This window comes from Homo sapiens, chromosome 13 (assembly GCF_000001405.40).
Source record: "Homo sapiens chromosome 13, GRCh38.p14 Primary Assembly".
Classification (NCBI taxonomy): domain Eukaryota; kingdom Metazoa; phylum Chordata; class Mammalia; order Primates; family Hominidae; genus Homo; species Homo sapiens.
The window spans coordinates 73,861,095-73,887,447 of NC_000013.11; the positions used below are offsets into that span (position 1 = coordinate 73,861,095).

General features: G+C 36.0%; 1 protein-coding gene and 1 long non-coding RNA gene across 21 annotated transcripts in view; both read right to left on the reverse strand.

Moving 5' to 3' along the window:
* The window catches only part of KLF12 (KLF transcription factor 12), a 619,957-nt gene that overhangs the window by 175,006 nt on the left and 418,598 nt on the right, over positions 1–26,353 (reverse strand). The gene's annotated exons all lie outside the window — the stretch shown is intronic.
* On the reverse strand, positions 21,310–25,487 carry LOC124903182 (uncharacterized). Its single transcript, XR_007063825.1, has 2 exons — positions 24,871–25,487; positions 21,310–24,501 (listed from the first exon to the last, which is right to left on the reverse strand). It is a non-coding gene; the product is annotated as an uncharacterized LOC124903182 (long non-coding RNA).

Consider the following 26,353-nt stretch of genomic DNA (forward strand, 5'->3'; position numbering starts at 1 on the left):
CTTTCTGGTTCCAAAACTTAGTCTTCATGTCTATCAAGTTTTTCAAAGTTAGTTAGGATTCTGCATTTTTTTCTGTCAATCGGGGTGTAATACATGGCATGAAGGTTATAAATCCTGTAACTAGATACAATGATAAATGCATGTACCCCATTCTTGTTAATTTTCCATTCCACAATAAAAAACCCCTGCTAACTCTGATCCTTTCAGTGTGGGGATTACCTGTACCAGCAACCCACAAACTCTGCTGCTGCTTCCTGCGCAGTGAACTCTACAACTGCCTTTCTCCTCCCTTTGGCTTATCTTGCTCTGCTCCTTCATGTTAATTCCATTCTTCTAGAACTTCTGCATTGGCATTCTTATTTGGCATTCTTATTTACACTAAAGGAGTAGTTATTAATGGCAGGTAATGTGTCCCCCAGGGGACACTGAGCAACATCTGAAGACATTTTTGATTGAAGCAGTGACAAGACAGTTCCCATGACAAAGACAAAAGACCAAGAGTGTCGAAGTTTAAAGAAACCCTGGATTAAGCTATCATCTTTTTCCTACTTTTTCCCCTAACATCTTATATATTACTTTTTTTTAATTTGTGGAATTATTCCGTTTTCCTCATTTTTCCTTCTCTAACTCTTCCATATGTGTTAATCATGTAAATATATCTACAGAGTCCAAACATATATACATGCACCTCCGTGGGTATGTGAATACGGCTTAGGTACTGGTATGAATGCTGATGGGCATGTGTGTATTCTTGTGACATCTTAGCATGTAGTGCACTTAAAAGTCATGCAAGGAGTGTGTGTGACAGAATATGTAGAAAAATTAACTTGAAGTGTTTATTACCTATATATACAAATGTGTGTGTCTACGTGTTCCTAGCCCTTCATATTATAAGTATTAATTGAATAGTTTTCATAGATTTGCTTAAGTGTACAAACAGAAGAGTGCAGATATAGTTGGGTTTTTTTTTTTTTTTTGAAAAATCAAAGGGTATTGAGGTTAAGTTAAAAACCTTAACACATAAATGCAGTTGTGATCTCTAAATTCACTAAGCATCTGTCTTTCCAGTAAGGATTCCAGACATCAGCCCATGTGATGCTACTGTTAGCTAAATCTAGGCCCCAAACTTGAATTAGTTTTACAACATGTAAAGGGGAAAAGACATGTCTAAAAATTATAAACCTGCTGCACATACATTACAGTGTATTGTTTATTCCTCACAACATCTCAATATAAAAAACTATCATGAATCACATTTTACAGATAGGAAACAGACGTGGAGAGGTTAAGAAATGTGCCAGTGGTTCTAAGGCATTAAGTGACAATGTCAAGATACAATCTTTAGTGATCTCTGGCAATAAAATCCATGGCCTCAACTATTAATGCAATACTAACTCCCACATCTGAATCTTTAATGTATGCCCACAGCAGATCAGGAAAGACTGAAATCACTGTAATCAATTCTATAAAACATTTGTCTCTTATTTTGTGCAATTTTAAGACGACTATGTTTCGTGAAGAAAAAAGAGTCAAAAGGTTAAGTAAAAACTTTCACAGATTTCAACAACATATCTTAGCAGAATTATTTTTTCCTTTATTGGTTTTCCTTATAAAATCTCTAAGAAAACAACAACTGTACGTTATTCAATTATTTATTACTGAATAAATAAGAAAAAGAAAAGAGTCAGGCACATTAATCACTTCTTTGATCCAAACAGAATTCTGGTTCCCATGAGATAAAGTTACTCTGTGTTTTTGGTTTTAAATAATTCCTGTGATAAAATCCCAAATTAATTATTAAGTAAATTAGCAAACTCACATTATATGATTCATTTTCTTCTTAGCATCAGAACTTTCAGTCACAGTTAAGATAGCCAACATTCAATTATCTACTCATAGACAGGATCACAGTACAAGTAATCCCAAGTGACAGATAATCCAAAAAGGCATTTATGTTGGGTTTAAAATTCATTATATGATTCCAGCAGATTTACCACCATAATTATATTTATTAGACTCATATTAAAATTCATTTGTATTTCTTAAACACATGCCAACTGAGGGAGGATCTCAGAAACATGCTGGATCAAGAAAGGAAGCTGATTTGCTATTAGCAATTTTCCTGTGAATAACTGACAAGAAGTCATGGGGATAGTAAAACTAAATTTCATATTTATTAAGAGTCTTATGTGATAAATTAGAGATTATATTATAGCAGTATTGTAGAGGTGTTACGGCATGGGCTGTGGATTCCAACAGACAGGTTTGTGTACTGGTTCTGCTCTTGTTCCGTGACCATAAGCAAATTTCTTATCCTTCTAAACTTCAGTTATTTACTTACAACAGTGCTAATATTAGCACTCCCTACATATTAAGGGAGTTCTAAAAATCCAATTATTAAATGCACACTGCTTGACACAAAATAGTTAAAATTAGTTGTGGTTGTTATTTTTTGTTTCAGTTATTATTTTATCTATTTTACTGTAGTGCTAAAACTAGAATATCCGATAGTTTGTATTATTCCTGCCTCCCATAAAATGATGCCATCTTTGATTATTCAATAAATTACATAGTATACTGTAGGGTCAAATATTAGAATATGTTCATCTGGTGCAGACAGGCAAATACTAGAGATGCACAGTTTTCTAGTTTTAAACTTCTGGGGCCATACATATTCAGGAATTCAAACTTTTGGTAGGTTTTTTAGAAGGTAATAGCACCCCGCCAGGAGGGCTTGGGGTGGAACTGGATACTCCAACACATTAATATCTCTGCAGTAAAACACATGAACATTTACACTGAGTGTTATAAAGACTATAAATACTTGTATGTCAGTTTAGTACAGTTTTTAATTCTAAATAAGTATTTTTTCAGAATTTTTAAGGATTTTAGATTATAGATAAGAAGTTGTGGAAATGGATTAAATAGAATGATACAACTAACCTTGATTCTACAGTTTTCCATTAATAATATACTACATGTCATAACATTATAGGGTAAGATAACTGGGGAGTTAAAAATTCCTCTTGGTTTACATAAAATATCCCTGAATAATTTGTAGTAAATGGAATTCTAAATAGCAATTCAAGTTTAAGTAATTACTCCCTAATTTTTAAAAGGGTATGGCAGATATCCTGATTTGTATAAAGTGACATACAGATAGCATTACCCATTTTATACTTGGTTTCAATTAGGAATTAATTTCTCTCATAGTTGTACTTTACCAGTGAGTGGGATTAAATTATTAGATTTAAGGATTTAACAAACTATTAAATTCCTCAGTGCTGATCAGTAGATGAAGCAGAACATAAGCAATATGATTGGAAATGGAGCTGAGTTCTCTAGGGAAAAAACACTGGTCTATATCTATTATCTTCCCACAGATACACAACAATTATATCAGATTGTAAATAGTCCCCAGTATGAGGTAGAAAAAAATCTGATGCATATTTATAAAAGACTGAAGGAAAGCGTTTATATCATTCACTGATCAGAGTAAGGAAAATATTATTGACTATAAATCCAAAATATTCAATCCAAAAGATTTTAAATTACAAAGGAGTTCAAAAGTTAGTCTAACTGCCTGGGTAAAATGTGCTGAAAGTTCTGTTCAACAGAAACATCAATCAACACAAAATTCATCATTCAGGAAGTGCTAAATTTTCATTAATCACTGACATGAGAAGATCACAGTAGAATGAAGGAATATATATGCGATAAAAGTGGTACATAAAAGACCATAAAAATAAGAATTTTGAAGAGGACTTAATGTTGTCAAGTCTGAATAAGGTTAGAGTAATAGTTTTCAATCCAATATAAAATTAAGGAGTAAATAACAAGTAAACAGGTTTAAAAGCTTCAATTGTCCAAGTACAGGTATAAGGAAGTCTGACAGAAAATATATGATGAAAGACATATACAGTTATATAATAAAAACAACAAATAAAAAATCAAGGCCCCTTCCACTAAACAAAAAAGGAGTCTATAATAAGTCAAATGTTAAGGTCAACTTGATTGCCTAAATTCCAGACATAACTTTGTGCTTTCTGTTAGGATAAAAAGAAATAACATGAGTAGCTCTATAATCACATTATCTCAGTAGTGAGCTGTATACATTTCTTACCATTGTTTCAAAAACCACATTAAACTGCAAATCTTTTTCATGAGGAGCTTTATGAAAGGGACCCAAAGTGATGACATGCAAAATAATCTGGACAATTTATAGCACGTAAAATGTGGAAAAAGAAAAGCCCAAATTTCATTTCAGCCAAGGCAGAGTAGTTTGTATTAAATCAACTCTCATATTAGAAACAGTAACAAAACTAGATTAAATTTGTAAAAGTGCATTTTAAGACACTGGAGAGCAACTAAAACAATCAGAACTTTAAGGTCCAAGATCCAAGAAGGAAAGAAACACAAGAAAAGGAACTATCAATGTATATCATTTTTTCCTTGAGGCATAATCACAACGTCTGCTATTCACTTAAATTACAAAATATTTCAGAATACTATCCCAAATTACTTAAAACTAAAAGTAGAGGAATAGATAAGAACAAACTAAAAGGAGAGAAATAGATAAGAAAAATAAGAACAAATTAAAAATTTTTAGAGTTATCCAACATGTACTTTAAAATAACAATCATAAAATGCTTAACAGATAAGAAAATTGTACTCCAAAACTGCAGTCTACAAAACCAAACAAAAACCTAGTCAAATATAGATTCCAAAAGCGAAAAATACAGTATTTGAATTGAAAACCTGACACTTGTGTTTGACAGCAGAAGGACATAGAAATGATTAATGAACTGAAAAATGAATGAGCAAAAATGAGAACGTAGTTCAAGTGGGAGTAGTAAGATACTTTAAAAAGCATAAAACAGGCCCAACACAGTGGCTCACGCCTATAATCCCAAAACTTTGGGAGGCGGAGGTGGGTGGATCCCTTGAGGCCAGGAGTTTGAGACCAGCCTGGCCAACAGGGCGAAACTCCATCACTACTAAAAATACAAAAATTAGCCGGGAATGGTGGTGGGCGCCTGTAATCCAGCTACTCGGGAGGCTGAGGTGTGAGAATCTCTTGAACCTGGAAGGCAGAGGTTGCAGTGAGCTGAGATCACGCCACTGCACTCCAGCCTGGGCGACAGAGCAAGACTGCCTCAAAAAACAAAAGAAAACAAAACAAAAACACACAAGACACACAGGAAAGGTATTACATGTGTGTAATTGGAGGCCCAGAGGAGTGGAGAGAAAGAATAGGGAAACAGGGCACAGCAACATTGAAAATACTGGCCAGATATTTTCTGAAAGACATTTTGCTGTACAATTCAAGAATCTGTAAATCCCAAGCAATATAAATTCAAAAGAAACTACTCAAAAGTAGTCAGTGAAAAGATGACCTCCCAAAGAGTAACTATTTGAAGAGTTACTTCTCAACAAAATGACAGAACCAGAAGACAACAGGATAGGTTTACATTCTGAAATAAAAAAAAATAAAACAATTGACAACTTTGATACTTTTCTATCAAAAATGAAGACAAAATACAAACATTTTAAATAAAAACAGAGCATTCATGGCTAACAGACCATGTAAAAAGAAGTACTAAAAAATTTCTTCAGGCCCAAGGAAAATCATCCCTAATATAGAAATATGGAAATACAAGAAAGAAAAAAGAGCAAAGGAAAAGGTAAATATGTACATAAATCTAACTGAGTAATGAAGACATCTTGCTAGGCTAATAATATACTGTCTTAACAATAATTATATTTTGAGGTTTAAAATGTGGGGCAAAAAGGGGGGGGGGAATTTATAGAGTTAAAATGTCCCAAGATCTCTGCATTGTCTAGAAATTAAGTAAAAGGATTAAACTATGGTGAGCATGAAAATGCCACAGGGGCAATGTAATTTATAGGATAAACCACTGAAAATAATATTTACACTAAAGAGAAGGTAGGGAAAGGAAATTTTAAAATATCAGGAAAAAGGGAATAAAAAGCATACAGTGTGATGGTATAATGTACAGTACTACATTCTGCAATTAAGTAGTCTAGTTTTTATGGTTTTAAAATTATAGCTTCGATTTTTAAGAAAAACTTAAATGTAGTAACTCTTAAATATAAGAAAATAAAAGTTGAAAGTAAATGAATGAAAAAAACACTAGGCAAATACAAAGCAAAAGAAGGTTGGTACAGTTATAGTCATACTAGGGAAAAAAGATGGTAAGCTAGAATAATTACTAGAAACTAAAAAGGACAGTTTACTGACAAAAGAACCACTCCAACAGGAATATATACATACATACATACATATATACGTGTGTGTGTATATATATATATATACACACATACATATGACATATATATGTCAATTTATAAAAATAGTCTTAAAAAGCAAAGGCATAAAGAACTAAAATGAGTAATAGACAAGCCTACAAATATAGTGTGAGATTTTAGCATAACTCACTCAGTAACAGATAGACAAAGAGAAAAAGTTAGCAGGGCTATAGAAGACAGGGGGAAAAAAAAATTAACAAACTTATCTTACTTATTTAGAACAACGTACCTGATATCTATCCAATACACAGTGTTTTTCAAGTACTTATGAACTATTTACCACAATGCGACCCCACAGTGGGCTACAAAGCAAGTCTTAACAAATCTAAAGGGATACAATCATTCAGCACGCCCTCTAGTAACATGGAATTTCACCATGTTGGTCAGGCTGGTCTTGAATTCCTGACCTCAGGCGATCCAACCCTGTCTCTACTAAAAATAGAAAAATTAGTCGGGCATGGTGGCGGGTGCCTGTAATCCCAGCTACTTGAGAGGTTGAGGCAGGAGAATCGCTTGAACCTGGGAGGCAGAGGTTGCAGTGAGCCAAGATTGTGCTATTGCACTCCAGCCTGGGCAACAAACAAGAGCGAAACTCCTTCTCAAAAAAAAAAAGAAAAAAAAAATGCTGGGTGTAGTGGCTCATGCCTGTAATCCCAGCACTTTGGGAGGCCTGAGGTCGGGAGTTCAAGACCAGCCTGACCAACATGGATAAACCCCGTCTCTACTAAAAATATAAAATTAGCCGGGCATGGTGGCATGTGCCTGTAATCCTAGCTACTCGGGAGGCTGAGGCAGGAGAATCACTTGAACCCAGGAGGTGCAGGTTGCGGTGAGCCGAGATGGTACTCCAGCCTGGGCAACAAGAGCAAAACTCCATCTCAAAAGAAAAAAGGCGGGGGCGGTGGGGGGGGGGGGTGATTTCAGTACAAAGCCTACAGACATTATAAAAATATTAAGATTTTTGTTCGTTTGTTTTTTGTTTTTGAGACAGAGTCTCACTGTCACCCCCAGGCTGGAGTCCAGTGGCACAATCTCAGCTCACCACAACCTCCGCCTCCCGGGTTCAAGTGATTCTTCTGCCTCAGCCTCCCGAGTAGCTGGGACTACAGGTGCACAACAACATGCCCAGCTAATTTTTGTATTTTTAGTAGAGATGGGGTTTCACCATATTGGCCAGGCTGGTCTCTCGAACTCCTGACCTCATGATTTGCCCACCTTGGCCTCCCAAAGTGCTGGGATTACAGGCGTGAGCCACTACGCCTGGCCTAAAAACAATAAGATTGTTATAAAAAGGTTTATTCCGATAAATTTTTAAATTCTAAAAAACAGAACTGTTTAATAAGTTTGCTTCAAGAATTGTTTCAAACACTTATCAAATAAATCACCCAAATCTGACACAAACTCTTCCACGGAACAAAAAAAGAAGAAACACATAGTGAATGGTTTTATGAAGCTGGCATACTTGTTATCAAAACCTGCCTAAATTTACAAATTGGCAAAACAAATCCATATTTTTTAAAGTCATATTTTTTAAAGGATAATCATTACTCTTGAAAATGGGTAGTGACTAGGATGAGACATCAATGGGCATATAAATTATTATTTCTTTATCTGATTGTTAGTTACATATATCTGTGTTTACTTTGTGAAAAATTTGCAAACTGTACTTATAATTTGTACATCTCTCCATGTGTTATACAATTTTAAAAAAACTTACAGAAACAAAAAAGTCCTTAATTTAGACCTTTCTGCAGGTAAACTTTAATTCATTAAACATTATGTATGTATTTTGTGAAGAATAAAGCTATTATATAGATGCACCATTATTCAGAGTAAGTTTTCTCTTTTGTTCATCAAAAACAACTATAAGAAAAAGAGAAATATCTTGCTAAAATCATGCCAAATTATACTGATGGTACTTTTTCAATGTCCACAAACTAAAAAATACATTTGTTGTGATTTCTTCTCAGGAAACACATGTAAGTTTATATGATTGTTAGTATTATTTTCCTACCTACCTGAACTATTGCATTTAATAATACATTGTAAATTCCAACAAGTATAGCAATATATATTTTTCAGGGTTTAATTTTACATTTTCAAAATTGTAGACATATCTGGCCCAGTCCCCTTATCTTTGATTTCTCCTAGATTTTCTATAATTATTCTGCAAGTACATAGATAAATTATATCTATATCCATATCTATAACAGTTATATGCTGAGTATATATAATATACTCAGCATATAACATAGTTCCTGGTAACTTGTAATTACTCTTTAATAGTTGTTAAATGAAGAAATGGACTCAATGACAAAGTGATAAATCAGATGGTCTCTGATCAATTTCTCTTCTATTGAAGGCTTTAATTTCCTCTTAAGTAAATTTGTTTCCCTTTCTAAATGTTAAGAGGTTGCTTTCTCCTTTGACAAAACAAGTACTGAACAGTTCTGTGGCCCTGGCTAACTTGTCCTTGTAGTTCAAAATCAGAAGGCTCTGAGTAGAGCCACGCTGATTCCTTCTCGACATGGTTTTCATGTCTAGCTTGTTTATACGATGTACGATTACCCAGTTAGAACATTCTTTGAATCTCTCATTTATGTTGAACTAAAAGAACTTTTCTGCCATTTAAGGCATTGTAAGTCAGCTTTCCTAAGGTTCACCTCTCCATTCTATATCTAACATTGCTTTTCTTACTTTTACAAGCTCCAATATAAATTCTCATTTTCCCCAGGTTGCCATCACTGTGACGTCATCAAGCAGTTCTTCCTTCTTATTCAGAACATAATCAGAGCACAGCGTCAGTTTTCCCTGATTGCTTCATTTCTCATTTGGCAAACACAACAAAACCAAACCTGTCAGCAAGTTGAAGATTTACCAGATGCCCATATACTATGCTGCAATAACATTTTACTTATATGATTTGGGCAATGTACACAGTATCTAACTGATTTTAACAGTAACATTTAAAAATACATGCCAACACAACTTTGGTTGGTTTCTATGGTTAGCACTTTTCAAACATTTCCTTCTTTGAAGTCCATGCCTTGGTATTTATTCTGACATAGAGATAAAAAAATCTTAAAAGTACTTAAAGGTAACTGCCAGACGGATGTGCATGTGTGTGTGTTTACATGGCTGTTTTAAATACATTCTTAAAGCAATACTTGTGTCCTCACGCCTAGACAGTCATTCAGCTTTATGATATCCATAATGCTAGAACATTTGCCTTCAGAGACCTGATGAGGCTGAAGTCAAGAGAAACGGAAGGTTAAAGTGGAAATTGGGGTGGAGGGATAATCACTGAGAACAAACTCAAATTAGCTACAATAAAGATTTCCCTCTAAGCCTTGTCATCTCTTTTGTCTTTCAAATATATTTCTTTCTTCTCTGGACCAGCCAGGGGCCTTCTACTCTCCAGATTTCTTTTTAATCCCTTGTTGACTTCCTTGGACTTTTTTTCTGGTCACCAGATAGTTTCTTTGGGGAAACTGGGATCAGTGGGGGGCAGGAATCAAATTTAACATTTTTACTTATGCAACATATAAATAAGTACAAAGTATGAGATATGACTGATTAGTTGTTGCCTGTCATCCATTGCCACTGCTTTCTAATCATCTCCCTGAAGCATCAAGCTCCTCAACATTAAGGTTCTGTATTCTGCCAGTGAGATGTTCTCATTTAAGAGTCAGAAGGAGGAAATGAGAGGGAGGTCATCTTGCTGGTTTGGTTGCCAGCAACAACATTCAACGTTGCAGAGTCGAGTTACTAGTCTGCGGGGGAGGCAGTTGTGTCAGCTGTAGTACTCGCAACAGCAGCAGCAGCTTCTCTGTCTCTGCTTCACAGCTATGGTGGCGTGTCCTGAAATCAATGATGGGGAGGCAGACCTGACTTCCATCCCTCCTTCTCTTCAATGAATAAGCGAGCATTCGCTATACTAAATTCCTGTTCTCCTGAAATACTTAGAGTGGTTCGTGTTTCCTGTACCATACACTAACTGACAATTGTTAAGAGACTGGAAAAGAGAATATGAAAGAGAAAAAGGAATGTAAACTGAGCGGGGAGAAAATGCAGGATAAGTCATCACCAGGAATGCACATTCTAAGTTCCTGAACACAGTACAAACGGAGTCCAGTCCCACTCCACTTGCCTCCAAAGTGTACATAGTTTCCCCATGTTCCTGACACCTCTGGGCCCTTCACACATTCGCTATCTCTGAACACAATTTTCTCCCAACCACTTTTCCTTCACACCCAACTATTTCCTAATTCCTAACACATCTTTAGGACACAGTTCAGACATTCCCTGTCTTCCATGACGCATCCTGATGCTCACTCTAGGCTGGTTAGCTTTCCTCCAGAATCCCATAATACATTTTATCCATCCAAATTTTTCCACTTCCCATGCTGTATTAAAGTTATCTGCCTGCAGATATCTCTCTTATAAGACGGCGAGCTCCTTGTAGTTTCGAATGACATTCAATAAATCTTGCCAAATGAATAAGAAAATAATTCTATATTTTTTATTGGTCCACTTGCCTGAAAAGACTAGAATGTTGTTTTTGTGGAGTTCGTGGAAGTGATCATATTAAGGCTTGAATCAAAGCGGGATTTCCTAGAGAAACTTCTAATTCTCCTTGTAAGCTATTTCCTGGAGGATGGAAGACGGCCACGTGCTTGGGTCCTGTGCCTCATATAAAAGGGAAGGGATTCTGACACATCCTGTTCATGGTCAATGATTTGATTTTTAGTTTGGATTTTTCTGTGTGTCTGGCCATTTGCACTGCAAATATATTTCAGAATTTAATCTACACACCTACATGTCAGCACCACCCACTTTCACCCTGGGTAAGCTGATTTAGGGACCAAAATTCTTCCTTTAGTTTTTCAAATCCCTTTCAATATGAATATATATTTTTAAAAGGAATGAAAAAAATCAAAACTATTAGTTTCATTCAGTATTTTGAATGCTCAGGATTTTAAAGATGGTTAGACAGTATATGGATTACTAAATCTCCTCAGTGCCGTATCTGAGGGCAGAATGTAAGGTGGGTGACCCCTCACATGAGAACTGGCAATGGGAAGACAGTGAGATAGAAACCCAGCAGGAAACTGTGACCACTGCTCAACACAGAACAGGGAACTTGGGTAAGACTCCACTAATGAGAAGGAAGGAGAGTAAATCTGAGAGCACCTAGGAAGCCACTGGTCATCATGAATCACAAGCTCTTGATGAGTGCAGAATCCAGTTCTTTGGTGCCAGAATCTATTCTAACTGATCGGTCCTTGCTCCATCTGCTCTTAAAATTTTTTAATACCTCACTTAGCTAAGACAGGCTCATACGTGTTGTATGTTAGTGGTAAGCAATGGAAGGCTAAAGTACTGTCTGACATATTTTAAGAATATTCTCAAAAAGAGCCAAGCTTTTAGGAGTGGAAGTCTTTAGGCTCAGCTGTGCAAACCAGAAGTATCAGACACAGAAGACATGAGTGAACCTTTGTGAGAGCAGAGACCTTATTTTGACCACTGCTATCTTCCAAACACCTGGAATATTTGTGGTATAAATGAGTGAAATGAGGCTGGTGCTGTTAGGTGCCTCTCTTTCTCCTATTTGCTCATCTTTCTCGGTTACATCATTTGGTTAGTGCATTGACCATTTCACCTTCCACATTTTTATGGGTTTAAAGCCTAAAGAAAGAATCTTTATTTTATATATATATATAAACAACATAATCGATGATCTATTTGACCAGTTTTGCTCTCCCCTCTGCTCCCATTAAATGAGGACTTCAATAAGAATTCAGAGAAATCACTTATAGTAAACTCAACCTTTATTTTTAATAAACAAAAGGGTGAATAACCATAAACATGAAATGAACCATGAATATCATCTGCCAGACAACTGAAAAGAGACAAAGCTTTCTTAAATATGGCTTGAGATTTCAATCATTTCATCACTAGACTGATTTTAAAGAGACGGTAATTCTCAAAATCTGGTTCATCAATTTTTTGTTTAGTTTTGGTATGGTTGTTGTGTCTTTACTGTTTAGAAACCACAGCTTAAAAGCAACTTAGATAGTAATGCTCTAAATGACCAAAACTACATTTTATAATCAAAGCACTCAGAAATGAGTTATTAAAACCCAATTTTATTATTCTTTCTCTGTGTTTATATTGGTTTTTGTGGATTTTTTCTGAAAACTATATAAACCTTTGCTCAGCCTTAACTCTTTAGTGAACTATTTTATTTAAAAAATAACAACACATGAACTTGACTGTGTTTAACTTCTGTTCCAGGTAAAAAAGACATGCTATAAAAAGATTTAATACTGTTCTCAGGGAAAAGAAAATGTCAAGCTACAAAATATCTGTAATATGTATTAATATGTTTTAAAATATCTAAAAATAATTAATGCTGATAATGTATTCAAAAGCCCTATAATAGTGTTTAAATTAAGAAGGCCCTCAGAATTTACAATTTAAATAGTAAACATATGGCACTACTCAAAAAAAAACATTGAAGCAAATAACTCATTAAAAATGCAAATGAATACAAGTGAACTTGCTTAAAAAAAGCAAGTAAGAGAACCAAAGGCTATAATGGCAATGGAAAAGGCAAGGTCGAGGACTGTTCACAGGGGAGAATTCTGATGAGGTCAAATGCAGCCTTCGGAGCTGTGGACTACTTATTAAGGAAGTAGCAGTTCTGAATTTTTATTACAGAGCTTTGCTCATACTGTGATGATTTCAGATAAGGTATTTATAGATTGTCTGAATATTTGACCTTGGAACTATTTTATGGACACTAGATATATTGCTTTTTATGGAGAAAATAGACAGTTCTACATAGGTAAATCATTTGCATTATCAGAAGAGAAAGCTGGGCTGAGGTAGGGAAGGTGGTGGTGACACTTCCCCTGTGAAACATTTCATGCCTGTTCAATACGTTTAAGCAATTACGCACTACCATAAATTAGAAAAGATTATAAATCAATTAGTGACTCTTACTAGCAGCCATAGACCCATGTAAAGTAAATCACATGATGCCCTTTTTACAATAAGTTCAGTCTTGATAAACTCAGTTATTCAGGAAAATGTCACTGCAGTGATGTCTGTCTATTCTAAATTGGAATCAATCCAATAATTGACTTCTGTTTTCTTCAGCAAAGGGCACTTAACACTAACGTGTGGTACATAGTCATATAGGCCTGAAGATCACACAAGTACATCCTATTATACCACCCTCCACCTTGGCAGATGGCTTACCTTGAGTGAAACCATTAACTACTCCCAATTCAAGTGACTGAAACTAAGAAACATGGGCCAACTGATCATCACCTTGAAAATAATATTTTCTTCAGAACTGACACTTTCCTTGATACTGAAATTTTCACTTACAGGTTTTAAGTAAATCTCACTAATATGTTTTTTGGATTAGATATTAACCAAAGAGAAATTTTAAGAATTATAGCTCTTTGCCCTTACAAAGTTTCAAAGATCTACAGTCATTACTAAAGACCATATTTTAAATAGGTATTTTAATTATGAGATATAAAAATATAATCAGGAATAATTTGAGTATGGTTTACAATTATGTTTCAACACTGGTCATCTTAGATTTTCATATATCATGTGCAAAAGAATACTTAAGTGAAAAGAACGTAGTAGTTATTGCCAAATTAGGAAGATCACTCGCCAATCAATACTAAAAAAAAAAGAACTTGAACAGATTTACTTTGTAATATTTGAAATATACAAAAGAATACAATTAATATAAGTTAGGAAGCATAATAACATGAACTCCCATGGTGAGCTTTTTGTCTTTTCTAATATGTACATTTATTCTCTTTTAAGGTTACAAAGACCAGTTTGACAGCTTCCTGCAAATTTATTTTCATTACGATATAGTTCTAATATTTTTGAAAATTTCCACCATGATTTTTTGACTGACTCATGGGTAACTTAGAAAAATGTCAAATCTCAAAATGTATTTTTAAATTTTACTGTCTTCTAATTAAGTGTAGTGGTTAGAAAACATGGTTTTTGTGACAGAAATTTTCAGAAATTTGATGAAGCTTGCTTTGTTGTACATTGTGTGATACATTTTTGCAATTACTACATGTCCTTGAAAGAATGCCTATTTTCTAAACTGTTAGATACAGGAATCTATATATGTTTATTCCATTTACCCTATTAAATGTGTTGTATAAATCATTAATCTTTACCAGCTTTTCCTGCTTGACAAAAATAATTGATAAAGGTGTATTAAAATCTACCTCTGTAGTAGATGACTTTTTAACGTTTTACATTTGATGAATTGTGCTTTATATATTTTCATGCTATTTTTAAAAAATGCTTACAGGTTTAGTATTTTTATACTGTCCTGATAAACTAGTAAAACTATCTTCACCCAATTGTTTTCTGTGCTAAAATCTGAATGATCTGAAACAAAATGGCTGTATTTCCAGGGCAAATTTGTCATTATTCCTTTATTTTCAACCTTTGTTTTCATGTTTAGGTGTGTAAACCACATATGACTATACTTTTAAATTCAAACTCAGAGTCTCTGTCTTTTGGCTTTTGGAATTAGATTCTTGTATTAATTTTCTATTGCTACATGATAAATTACTGCAAACATACTGACTTAAAACAAGACAATGTATTATTCTCAGTTTTTGTGAGTCAGGAATCCAGCACATTTTAGCTGGGTGCTATACTCAGCTAAAATAAAAAAAAAAAAAAAAGGTTTTAGCTTGCTGAGTCCTAATCTGGAGGTTCAACTAGCAAAGACTCACCTTCACACTACCACAGATTATTGGCTGAATTCAGTTCCTTGTGGCTGTAGGACAGATGCCTTTCGGCTTTTAGCTGGGACTGTTTTCAGCTTTTAGTGGCTACTCTCAGGTCCTTGCAATGTGGCAATCTCTCAGACCTCCCTTTCTAGGACCAGCTTGAGAAAACTCTCTTCCCTTAAAAGACTCCTGTGATAAGATCAGGTCCATTGGGACAATCTCCCTTTCTTAAAGACAATTGTGCCACAGGATACAACCTAATCACAGAAGTAAAATCCATCAAATTCACAATTCCAGGGATTATGCAAAACATGTACTCTAGGCTGAAGCAGACAGGAACTCTTGGGGGCCAGCCAGAATTGTGCATTCCACATTCATTTACGTGGCTTATAATTAGTGATACTTGGCTTTATTTTTACCTTATTCCTTTTCTTATTTTTTATGTTTCTATTTGTCCTTTTTGTTTAATTTTTTCAATTCTGATTTCTAAAAAATGACACAGAAATACTTTTCTGTGGCTGGGCGCGGTGGCTTATGCCTGCAATCCCAGCACTTTGGGAGGCAGAAGTGGGCAGATCATCTGGGGTCAGGAGTTTGAGACCAGCCTGGCCAACATGGGGAAACCCTGTCTCCACTAAAAATACAAAAATTAGCCAGGCATGGTGGCACACGCCTGTAATCCCAGCTACTCGGGAGGCTGAGGCAGGAGAATCACTTGAATCCGGGAGGCAAACGTTGCAGTGAGCAGAGACCGTGCCACTGCACTCTAGCCTGGGTGAGAGTGAGACTCCGTCTCAAAAAAAAAAAAAAGAAAAGAAAAGAAATACTTTTTTGTTTGCTTGCTGTCTTACACATTCTATTCCCATTCAATTTCTTTGGGAAATTATACATTGAACCTCTGTTCTTTCAGCAGTTATTCTCAATTTTTTTTAAACAAGTATAATTAACAAACTATATAAGGACATTAGAAACTAACTCCCAATGTCCTCTCCAAATTTAAATGTTATTACAGTCTAATACTTCAGCTCTATCATTGTATAAAAATCCTATCAATCAGACCGTATTAATAGTATTTTAAGAAGAAAATGTGCACGCTTTTATAAAATGCCTTTTTTTAGTCATTATTCCATATTACAGCTCAGATCATCATTTTGGGTTCTATTTTTAACTCAGCAATAATAAGTTGGAATCTTTTAGCTGAATGCTTTAGAATTTCCTTTTAGTCTCTCAGTTTTTGTTCAAAACTGTCCTTATTTTTGTCAATATTTTGAAGGTATTTCACAGAATTATAGTGAGTGACCACACAGCTTTATGTGGACATTGTCTATCAGCATTTTGAAAATATTATCCCATTGTCTTCTAGCTGCCACTGTTGATATTGACAGGTTGGCTGTCAGTCTACTGGTGTTTTCTTTGTAAACTGATGTCACCTTCTTGCTAGTACCTACTCCTCCATACTGCTGGAAGTAGCATTTCTATGAAAAATAAGTGATCAAATGATTGTCATTAACTATTGGCTTTGTAAAAGTTGTTTTCTTCATTTCTATGAAGATCTTATTATTATTGATATGGACAGGAGGCAAGGAAATATTGGGTAGAACAGGGTGGTTCCCCAGCAAAGGCCTCAGCCTCAAGCCTGGAAACTGGCAGCTCTAAAGAGAACAGGTATTCCCTGTTTTCACGCCCAAATGTTGCCTTTTCCAAGACTACTCTGGCCTGCCACGACTCTATCCTGTGCTCATATAAACCCCTGACCCCCACAGCCACCCCGTCACCAAACAGATGTTTATATAGTTAATACATCCTTATCATATATAATCTAGTTGCTACTTTTCTTAGTATTTTAGCTGTCATAAAGGACTTCATGATAAAATAGCAGTAACTCCATTGGCATCTTCCCTGGATGTCTCTCATGAATCTTAGACTCTTAATGGGTCATAAGAGTTACACAGACTTTATACCTGGTTTTGGAAAAGCATGAACTCAAAGTAAATTTAATTAAATTATCTATTCCACAACCTCTCTTCACAACAGAAAACTATATTCTCTATGGATAATCACATAAAATTATACAAAGGCTAATAAAAAGGGAAAAACCTTTTTCCCCTTCTTACATGGGCCAAAAAGACATAAAATCTAACCTTAAAAATTCAATGTTTCTTACATAAAACTAGACTTTCTCATTTGAATGTGGCATGAAGTGGTTCCAGGTAGGCAAAACTAAAAGGAAATAAGATAAAAATGCAAAGGAAGTACAAACTTTCTATTACTTATTTTAAACTATTTTTGACGTGGGAATTTGTTCTGCGTTGTGCACTGCTCAGCATGCCTCTGCCTTGGCTCCGGTTATCTTCTCATGGTCCTCATCTATTTTGCAGTCTAACTTCTCTAGTGACATAAGATATAATTTCCTAAAAAAGAGATTTTTCTAACAAGAAAAGGCAGGGTAAAGGGCAAGAGAGTGCCATGGGAGGAGGTGCTACTGAGATTGGGTGTTCATAGAAGGCCTGCCTGATAAAGTGAGACGTGATCTGAAACCTGAATAAAGTAAGGATGGTGTCCTTGTGGACAGTGCTCCAGAGACAGGAGCTGGGAGAGCTGTGAGTAGGCAGGGGCACCCAAGGAATCCCTGGGAGGCCAGGGGAGGTGTGGCAGGAAACATGGGAGGAGCTAAGATCAGAAATGGGGGTGAGGAGCAAGGCTATGGAGGCCCTGTGAGGAGATGACAGGATTTTGAATTTTATCTTGAGAAGGAAAGTTTTTGAATAGAGGGCTGATATGATCTGATTTATGTTTTAAAAGGATCATTTTGGCTGTGATGGGGATAACAGACTGGAGAAAAACAAGAACTTTCCACAGCCCACAAGAAAAATTCAAACTACTGAGACTATCAATGAAGACACTTTAAAATAAAGGACAGACCTAGAGACTCTTCAAGTTTACTGATGTTCAGAATAACCTGCTGTTCAGTGAGTATTACACTGTCTTTCACATGGTTTTATTTCTGCTTATGCTATTTCTGAAGCCCAAAGTGCCGGTTCTTCTTTTCACAGACTGGCAAAATCCTACTCATTCCAAATGGGCCAGCTCAAATGTCACTGTTTGGTGAAGCCTTCCTTTATGACCCTGGGATAGTTGAACTTTTTTCTGCTTCTCTTCCACCCCAACGTTATGAATGTGACATAAAATTTGAGTCACAAAAAGAAAACATAACAAAAGGTAAGTAGGTAATTATACACTGTAGACAACTGCTTTATATAACTCTAAGAAAAGTTAGACTCTCCATAATAGGAAACATAGATAAGATATCAAAACACACAGTAAAACCACAATAATTAAAACGCAGAACAAAAATGTCCTGAAGACAAGGGGAGGTATATAAACACACATAATTCTATCTACATCATGCCTTGCAGATCAATCCTATGAAGATATCAACAAAAACAATGACTTAATTACTCAAAGCAGTAGAGGGCCTTGGTGCCAACACAATCTCTACAACAGAAGTTCACAAACTGGGGCCTGCAGGCCAAATCCCACCAGATGGTGTTTATAAATAGTGGACATGGAACACCACGCCCTCTCATTTGCATATCCCCCTCCAGCTGCTTTTGCACTACCTACTCAGCAGAGCAAGAGTCTTTGTGATGAGCCATATGGTTCACACAGCCTAAATAAAATACTTACTCTTCATAAAACAAGTTTGCTGACCCTTGCTCTGCCCCACTCCTCCACAAGCTCCTTAACTACTTGAGGTTCTCAAATAAGTCCTGATCCTTCAGTCGTCTCAGTGACTGCTCATGCTAGCCGTTCTGCCTGGAGCATGGTTCTCTACCTCCTCTGCCTGGATAATCCCACTGCTCCTTTGAGACTCAGCTCAAGCCACCTCTAATAAGATGCTCCTCACTCTCCACCGTGCACAAAGACCCCTCCTCTCTGGTCCACACCTGCTCATGAATACTTGGAAACTGACACTCAGCCCACCTGATTTTAACTATTTATATACTTGCCACCCCACTTAGATATCCCTGAAACAGGAAATGTTTTCTGGACTTCACTTTTCCTCTCCAAATGAACAAACACCAAACTGTTCAGCTTCTTAGTTTAGCATCAGATCCAGGCTAACGAAGAGTTAAATGAGTTAGAAGGGAGTTCAATTAGTTTATTGCCTCATAGGACACATCAGCATGGTAAAGTGATCACAGGCCATTAAGCGTAGGGGTGAAAACTGTATAAGGAATTATTCCTCTTAAACATCTATGTAGAGTCTTGGGTCCTGATGAGGAATTGCCTCCAACCTGTGACGGAGGTTCCTCTGCTACTTCCTGCTGCTTCCAGATGCCTCTAGCCATGACTCAACCATTCGCTTCCTAATTTGTTGCTTCCAAACCACTCTAGGAGCTGGAAAGCAAAACAAACATGTGGTAAAACTGGTACCTAAAACTAGAATAAATAGGCTTTTAAGGACCTATGGGATTTTTCTTTCACAGGTGCATGAACAGGGCTGGTCTCCCAAAGACAATTTTTCTAAATCCCAGATTCTTGGCTATGTTCTAAATAGATTTGTTTTTTAAATAAATAACCTAGCAGTATAACTAACCAAACTGTTATTAAATGGAAAGTTATACTTTGACCTGCTTAAAGAAAAAAACTATCAAAACTTTTGCTTTTAAAAAGACTAGACAATGTTATTAGCAAACAGAAGTTATTATTGCATTAGAAAATAAAACATACACCTACTTTTAAGTAAGTCTGATATCTGAAAGTGTTAACGTCTAAACAAATTAGAATTTTTAAATGCACCTATTCACAATCATTAATGCCCAAACATGCTCTCTAGAGATAACAAAAGTCAAATTTCAGGAGTCTTTGCCAAGTGAAAATTAAAAAGAAATTAAGCTTGTTTTGGAAATGAAAGGTAAATTAGGGGAAACTTACTCCATTTTTATAAGTCATATATATATAAACCATTATTTATAAAAACATAGATTTCACTTTTATTTCTGTATTTTTGCATTCTGCTAGAATCATTAAAGCCTATTTTTCTGTAAAAGATAAAAATATTTGAAGTAACATTTTTTCTTTTAAATTTCTGAGAAGCTTAAAGCAATAAAATAATTGCTTCCATTTCTTTAGCAAGGTATGTTTTTTCTTGTAATTAATATAAAGGAGCTAAAAATTTTCAACTTATTTGCTCAAAAGCAATTAAAACCTAGTCAAAGATCTGCTAACTTATAAATATTAAGAAAACCATTCATTTTTTTTTCAAATGGCATGATTTAGTTATAGATTTGCCAGAGTCAGGAGAATTTCATTTTCTAATCTTTTATGTCCCATATGAAAAGTTTCTCAAATAATATTTCTTCTGCCTGTGTTTTTTCAAAATGCTTTCACTCTCATTTTGCATCTCCTCTGTATAGACAGGCAATTTTTGCACAACATGATTTTTTTTTCCTAAATAAACTCAGTTGTTTATCAGATAGAGCTAAAAAGTACCCGCTGTATGCAAAGCCTAATTTACACTGACAAACTTAAAACAATTCTCCACTTTGGCTTTCCCATTCCAATTTACTGATAACTTTACACATCTAATCCTGGTCCTAGCACAAGATCATGAATGCTCTTCCTCAATTTTTTACTTAGAGTGTTAATGGAGGAAGAAAGTGGCATTATGTTCTCTATATAACGTTAACAAAACTTATTATAAAATAAAATAAACAGGTAACTGGGTCTTTTTCATCCATACAACCCAAAATAAACAGCCTGATTTGTGGCTTTGTCTACGAAATGAACAGAAATTAAAAACTAAGGGCTTGTAAAACGGAATGTTCTATTAGCTCGCTTAATATTGCCTTCCCCACATTTGAAAATACAAAGTGAGGAGGGGTGGCTATGCTTGATTAGAACAGCTTAGCTACTCTTATCTTTTACCTGGTGGGCTTCTCTGATTTAAGCTGGTTTACATCCATGGCTGGCACTTGAAATACTAACCTCTGCATACAAACAAATCCTGAAGTTTAAAAACTCCTCTTCTGTAACATTTGAAGAAGATACTCTTTTTGGAATTTTCAGAACTGCATCTTCCTAAATCATTCTCATTCTGATCATTTCTGACTTTCATACAAATGATAGTCACAGCATATACTGAAAGAGACAGACGTGGAATATACAAAAACAGAGGAACATATTTGTACTTAGATTTTAATTTATTACACAAAGTGTATATAGATTTAAGGAAGTAAATAATTCTGAATTTAAAAGCAAGTCAATGTATTTAGTGAATAAACATGTAAAGAGTTTTAAAATCACTGATATGTAACACTTCCGTTTCAAAAACAGGCTGCATGAGAAATGTCAACTACAGAATTTGATTTTTATAGACTTTGGATTTTTGTATTACCAACAAAAGAACACATAAGTAATCATATGCCACGATTAAACGGTGATTTAAATAAAAATTATAATATTTGATCCATAAGAGCCAATGATAAAATCCAAAATGAATGCTTCTAATGTTTTGATATCATCTTAAAAACATTACAAAAGAATTACGAATATTTCAAACCAGAAGCAATACAATGTATTGTACACCAACAGAATTTATCATTAACATATTTTAAAGCAAATTATGGAAGGAAATAAACAGCAGCCTCATGTATAGGGCGATTTAGGGAACCATCTCATGTTCAGGCAAAAGGGTCTTACTCAGGAGTCATACTCTTTCTTCATTTTCCTGTTCATTGTATTGTTATAGTACTGTCTTTGTAAATCGTCTTCTGTTAAATTTAAATAATCATCCCCAAATGCAAAATGTACTAATCTAATCATTGTGAGGAGGACTGCTAAATTCAGAATTTCTTCTCCAAATAATTACTATCATTAAAATCAATATTATATTGTCCCCCTCTTTTTAAAATACATTCTGAAGTTTGTTGGTGGCTATTAAATAAAAGATCATGCATTACTGTACATCCTTTTATTAAAAAGCAACTTCAATGAGAATAGCAATAAACTCTTTAAAAACAAAAACAGTTATTTGCATGAGAAAAAAATGAGTGATTGAATCAGCCTCACAAGTTTCTCTTTGTTGAAGTACCAGTTATCATACAAGCCTTAGGAATGCGTGGCACAGTACTGCAGAAGTCAGACGATAAATTTAAATGTCCTTGCCAAACTGGTAACCTGCCTTACATAAACGACACGACATCCAATCAAGGTAGCACGTGGTTAGGGATTTTTCTTTTTCTCTTTGGTAAACTGAAGAGATGTGACAGGGAAGAACCCCCTAAGATCAAGCACAAAAGGAAAATAGATGGGGGATACTGCTGACCTGAACCTGATTTCAGCAGCAGTTAACATGGTAGTTAATTCAATCCAAGCTATTTCTATTACATGTCTAATTATTTGCAAAGCTTTGGGGAGAGCACTCCACGGTAAAGCAAAGATACATCCATCTTTGCTTCAAGGAGCTTATAACCCAGTGTGACAAACAGGCATGTACATAGTTTAACTGTAAAGAACAACATGACAAAAGGTAGGGCATTTGCCTCTAGTAGATAGTTGATAAAATAATTAACTCATATTTTAAAAAAGCATTAACTTTTGTTGGAAGTTAAATTTAGGGTGATATGACATTGTGTGAGATAAACCATATTTCTGTTCCACACTGAGTAGCTATTCTGCCATGAACTCTGATAAAATGGAGTGGCAGTCAACTTAATTATAGATAGAAGTTATCTGGAGAAAGCTGATCAGCCTGCCTTTCTGAGGTACCTTCTCCGAATTTAACGCAGTTGGGAAAAACAGAAACATTTTTTTTGACCACTATGTGAAAACTTTAACTCCCCTACTTAGTTTCCAAAAAGCTAACAGAATAAAACCTCAGTTTACCTATCAATATTATGTCTCGAAATAAGATGGAACTCTTTCTCATCTGGAAGGAAGATATTAACAGTACCTGCCCTCCTAAAGTTGTTCTGAGGATTGAATGTGTTGTTTGTCTAAAATGCAACTGTACCTATATTCTTCTCTTTTCTCAGCTGAAGGACATATCAATACCCTGTTGTGGATCTGAATCTTATTCATCTTTAGGCTAGCGCAAATACGGCCCACAAAATACCATTTTCCCAGACAACCCAAGCCCTCACAATCACATTCTCCAGTGTCCTGAATCTCCCATAGGTGTCACTACAGAAAAAAACACTTACATTCAATAAAAGAAAAGACTTTTGATAATCATCCTCTTTAAATCAGGAACACTGGACCCAATGCCATCGAGGGCCCTGCTCTGGTCTGCCTCTGGCCATACCCCTCACCACAGAATGAGGAGTCTGTCAGGACAGAGGAGGATGTGCCCATTCAGGGCCTGTACTTCCCATCCACAGTACTCCCCAACAGAACTTTCTGCATGATGGAAATGCCCTCTTTCTGTGCTGTCCCATATGGCAGCCACTACGCCCATGTGGCTACTGAGCATTTGAAATATGCCTAATATGACTGAAGAGTTTTTAATTTTATTTAATCTGAATTAATGTAAATTTAAACTTAAAGAGCCACAGGAGATTAGTGTTCACAATACTGGCCACAGAGAATTATATGGTCGAGGCCATCTTGATTGCCAATCCATTATTCACTTCTTTGTTTTCATCTTCCCTGATGTTCATCACAGCTGGGCAACCACTTCTTCATGAAGTACTTGCTTCTTCTGACCTCTGGGGCACCATACTTCCCTGTTTTTCTGCCTGTATCTCTCCGGCAGTCTTCATAATCTTCTTTGTTGGCTCTACCCATTGTGCTCAAACTCTCAGTACTGAGATGCTTTAGGACTCAGTCCTGTACTCTCTACTCTAATTACTTTCCTAGGTAATCTCACATGTCAATACGTCATTCACTATGAAATCTCTATGTCCAAAGACAGATTCCCATAGCCAACAGTGTATTTGAAATCTTCACTTAGCATTTAAATGTAACAAATCCAGAGCAGCAGTCTTAATTTCTCACCTCTGCAAAAAGCCATCTCCTCTTACAATCTTCCCCCTGTCATTTTTGCATCAACACCTACCTAGTAATTCAAGACAAAACTAAGGGGCTAATCTTTGATTCATTTCTCTTTCCTCACTCCAAATCCAATTCATAAGTGAGAACTTTTAATTAAACTTCCAAATACACCCCATATTGGTTTACATTACTTCATCCCTAATATCACAAACCTAGTCCCAGTCACCATGATCTCTAGTCTTGATTTTTGCAGTGGCCTCCAGACCCATCTTCTGCATTCACACTTGCCCTCATCACCACCCAGTCTCTGCAACTGCTGATCAATGATGCAGATGTACTTTAAAACAGGTGGTCACACAAAAGTTTAGTGACAAGTGGTCATCTGAATCAAGATTTGAAATAAGAGAGGAAGGATCAAGCTTTGCTGATATCTAGGAAAAGAGAATTCTAGGAACAGAGAAAAGCAAGGACCACAAGCTATAAATGAAGAATAGCGCTAATTCAAAGGGAAATGGAAAGGTGCTGAAAGGTTTTTAAGCTTGGGAGAAAAACCTGGTACACAGAGAATACGTTGAAGGGAGTGACAGCAGAAGTTAGAGAAACCATTTAGGAGACAATTTGTGAAGTCTGAGCGAACAGTTAGGGAGATGGAGACTAATCCAGATAAAAGGCATTTTTAGAAGTTATGAACTGGATGTGGAATGTGAAGGAATGAGGAAGATCAAGGATAACTCCTATGATTTTGGCTTACAAAACTCGAGGAAGGTTGGTGTTACTTATTGAGTTATTTCAGGTACATTAAGGGATAGTTCTGATGGATGGTGGTGTTGGTGGTGGTAGTAGAGGTCAGAATCAAGGGACATGACAAGGGCAGGTACATCACAAAGGCAGTTTCCAAGAAGGGACAAAGGTCACCAGGTACCAGTCTATGGAAGTGTCACAAAGATGAAGGTCTGAAATTCTAGCCTTCACATGCCATGTATCCTCAATGGGAAATGGGAGGTTTGCCATTCTGACTATATAGTTAAATAGAAGAGCCAAACGGTTTCGTACATGAGCATGGAGTACAGATAATTTCTCTTAATTCTCTCCACTTACCTTTCAGGATATCCATTAATTCTGCATGAATCTGTGCTCAGTGATAGAAAATCTGTGCTCAGTAGAAACCAAATGACAAAATTAACTAGCAGCAATATGGCACACAGCTACAGCAGCTATTTTTGTGTAAGGTGAACAGCCATATCAGAAGATGGAAAAATAGGGGGGTAGGGTGAGGGAGAGCATCAGGAAGAATAGCTAGTGGATGCTGGGCCTAATACCTAGGTGATGGGCTGATCTGTGCAGCAAACCACCATGGTACACGTTAACCTATGTCACAAACCTGCACATCCTGCACATGCACCCCAGAACTTAAAAGTTGATGAAAAGAAAAAAGACAGGAAAACAAATCCATTGGATACTTCAAAATGCCAAAATGTAAAGAAAATAAAAGTATAGGCCAGGCACGGTGGCTCACGCCTGTAATCCCAGCACTTTTGGAGGCCGAGGCGAGCGGATCACCTGAGGTCCGGAGTTCAAGACCAGCCTGACCAACATGGAGAAACCCAGTCTCTACTAAAAATACAAACATTAGCTGGGCGTGGTGGCGCATGCCTGTAATCCCAGCTACTCCAGAGGCTGAGGCAGGAGAATGGCTTGGACCCGGGAGGCGGAGGTTGCTGTGAGCTGAGATCCCGCCATTGTACTCCAGCCTGGGCAACAAGAGCGAAAATCCGTCTCAAAAAAAAAAAAAAAACAAGAAAAGAAAAGTATAACTTTTTTAGCATATCCAGCCAGAGCAAAACCACTCACTCACTAATTCAGATCTTGCACACTCATATGGTTCATCATCATCAGGGACACCAAAAATCTTCAAAAATAGAAATTGGTGATACATGTGCTACTGAACAAATATAACTGCCTAATTTTAATCTAGATAGTCTAATCTAAATAAATTGTCTAAAGTCATTCATAATAATAAAATTAATGTAGTAAAGATGGCAAAGAGAATTAAAAGATGATATGGTTTAGATATTTGTCCTGCCCAAATCTCATATTGAAATGCAATCCTCAATGTTAGAGCTAGGGCCTGGTGGGAGCTAACTGGATCATGGGGACAGATCCCTCATGGATGGCTTACTACCATGGTAACGAGTGTGTTCTTGCCATGAGTTCACAGGAGATCTGGTTACATA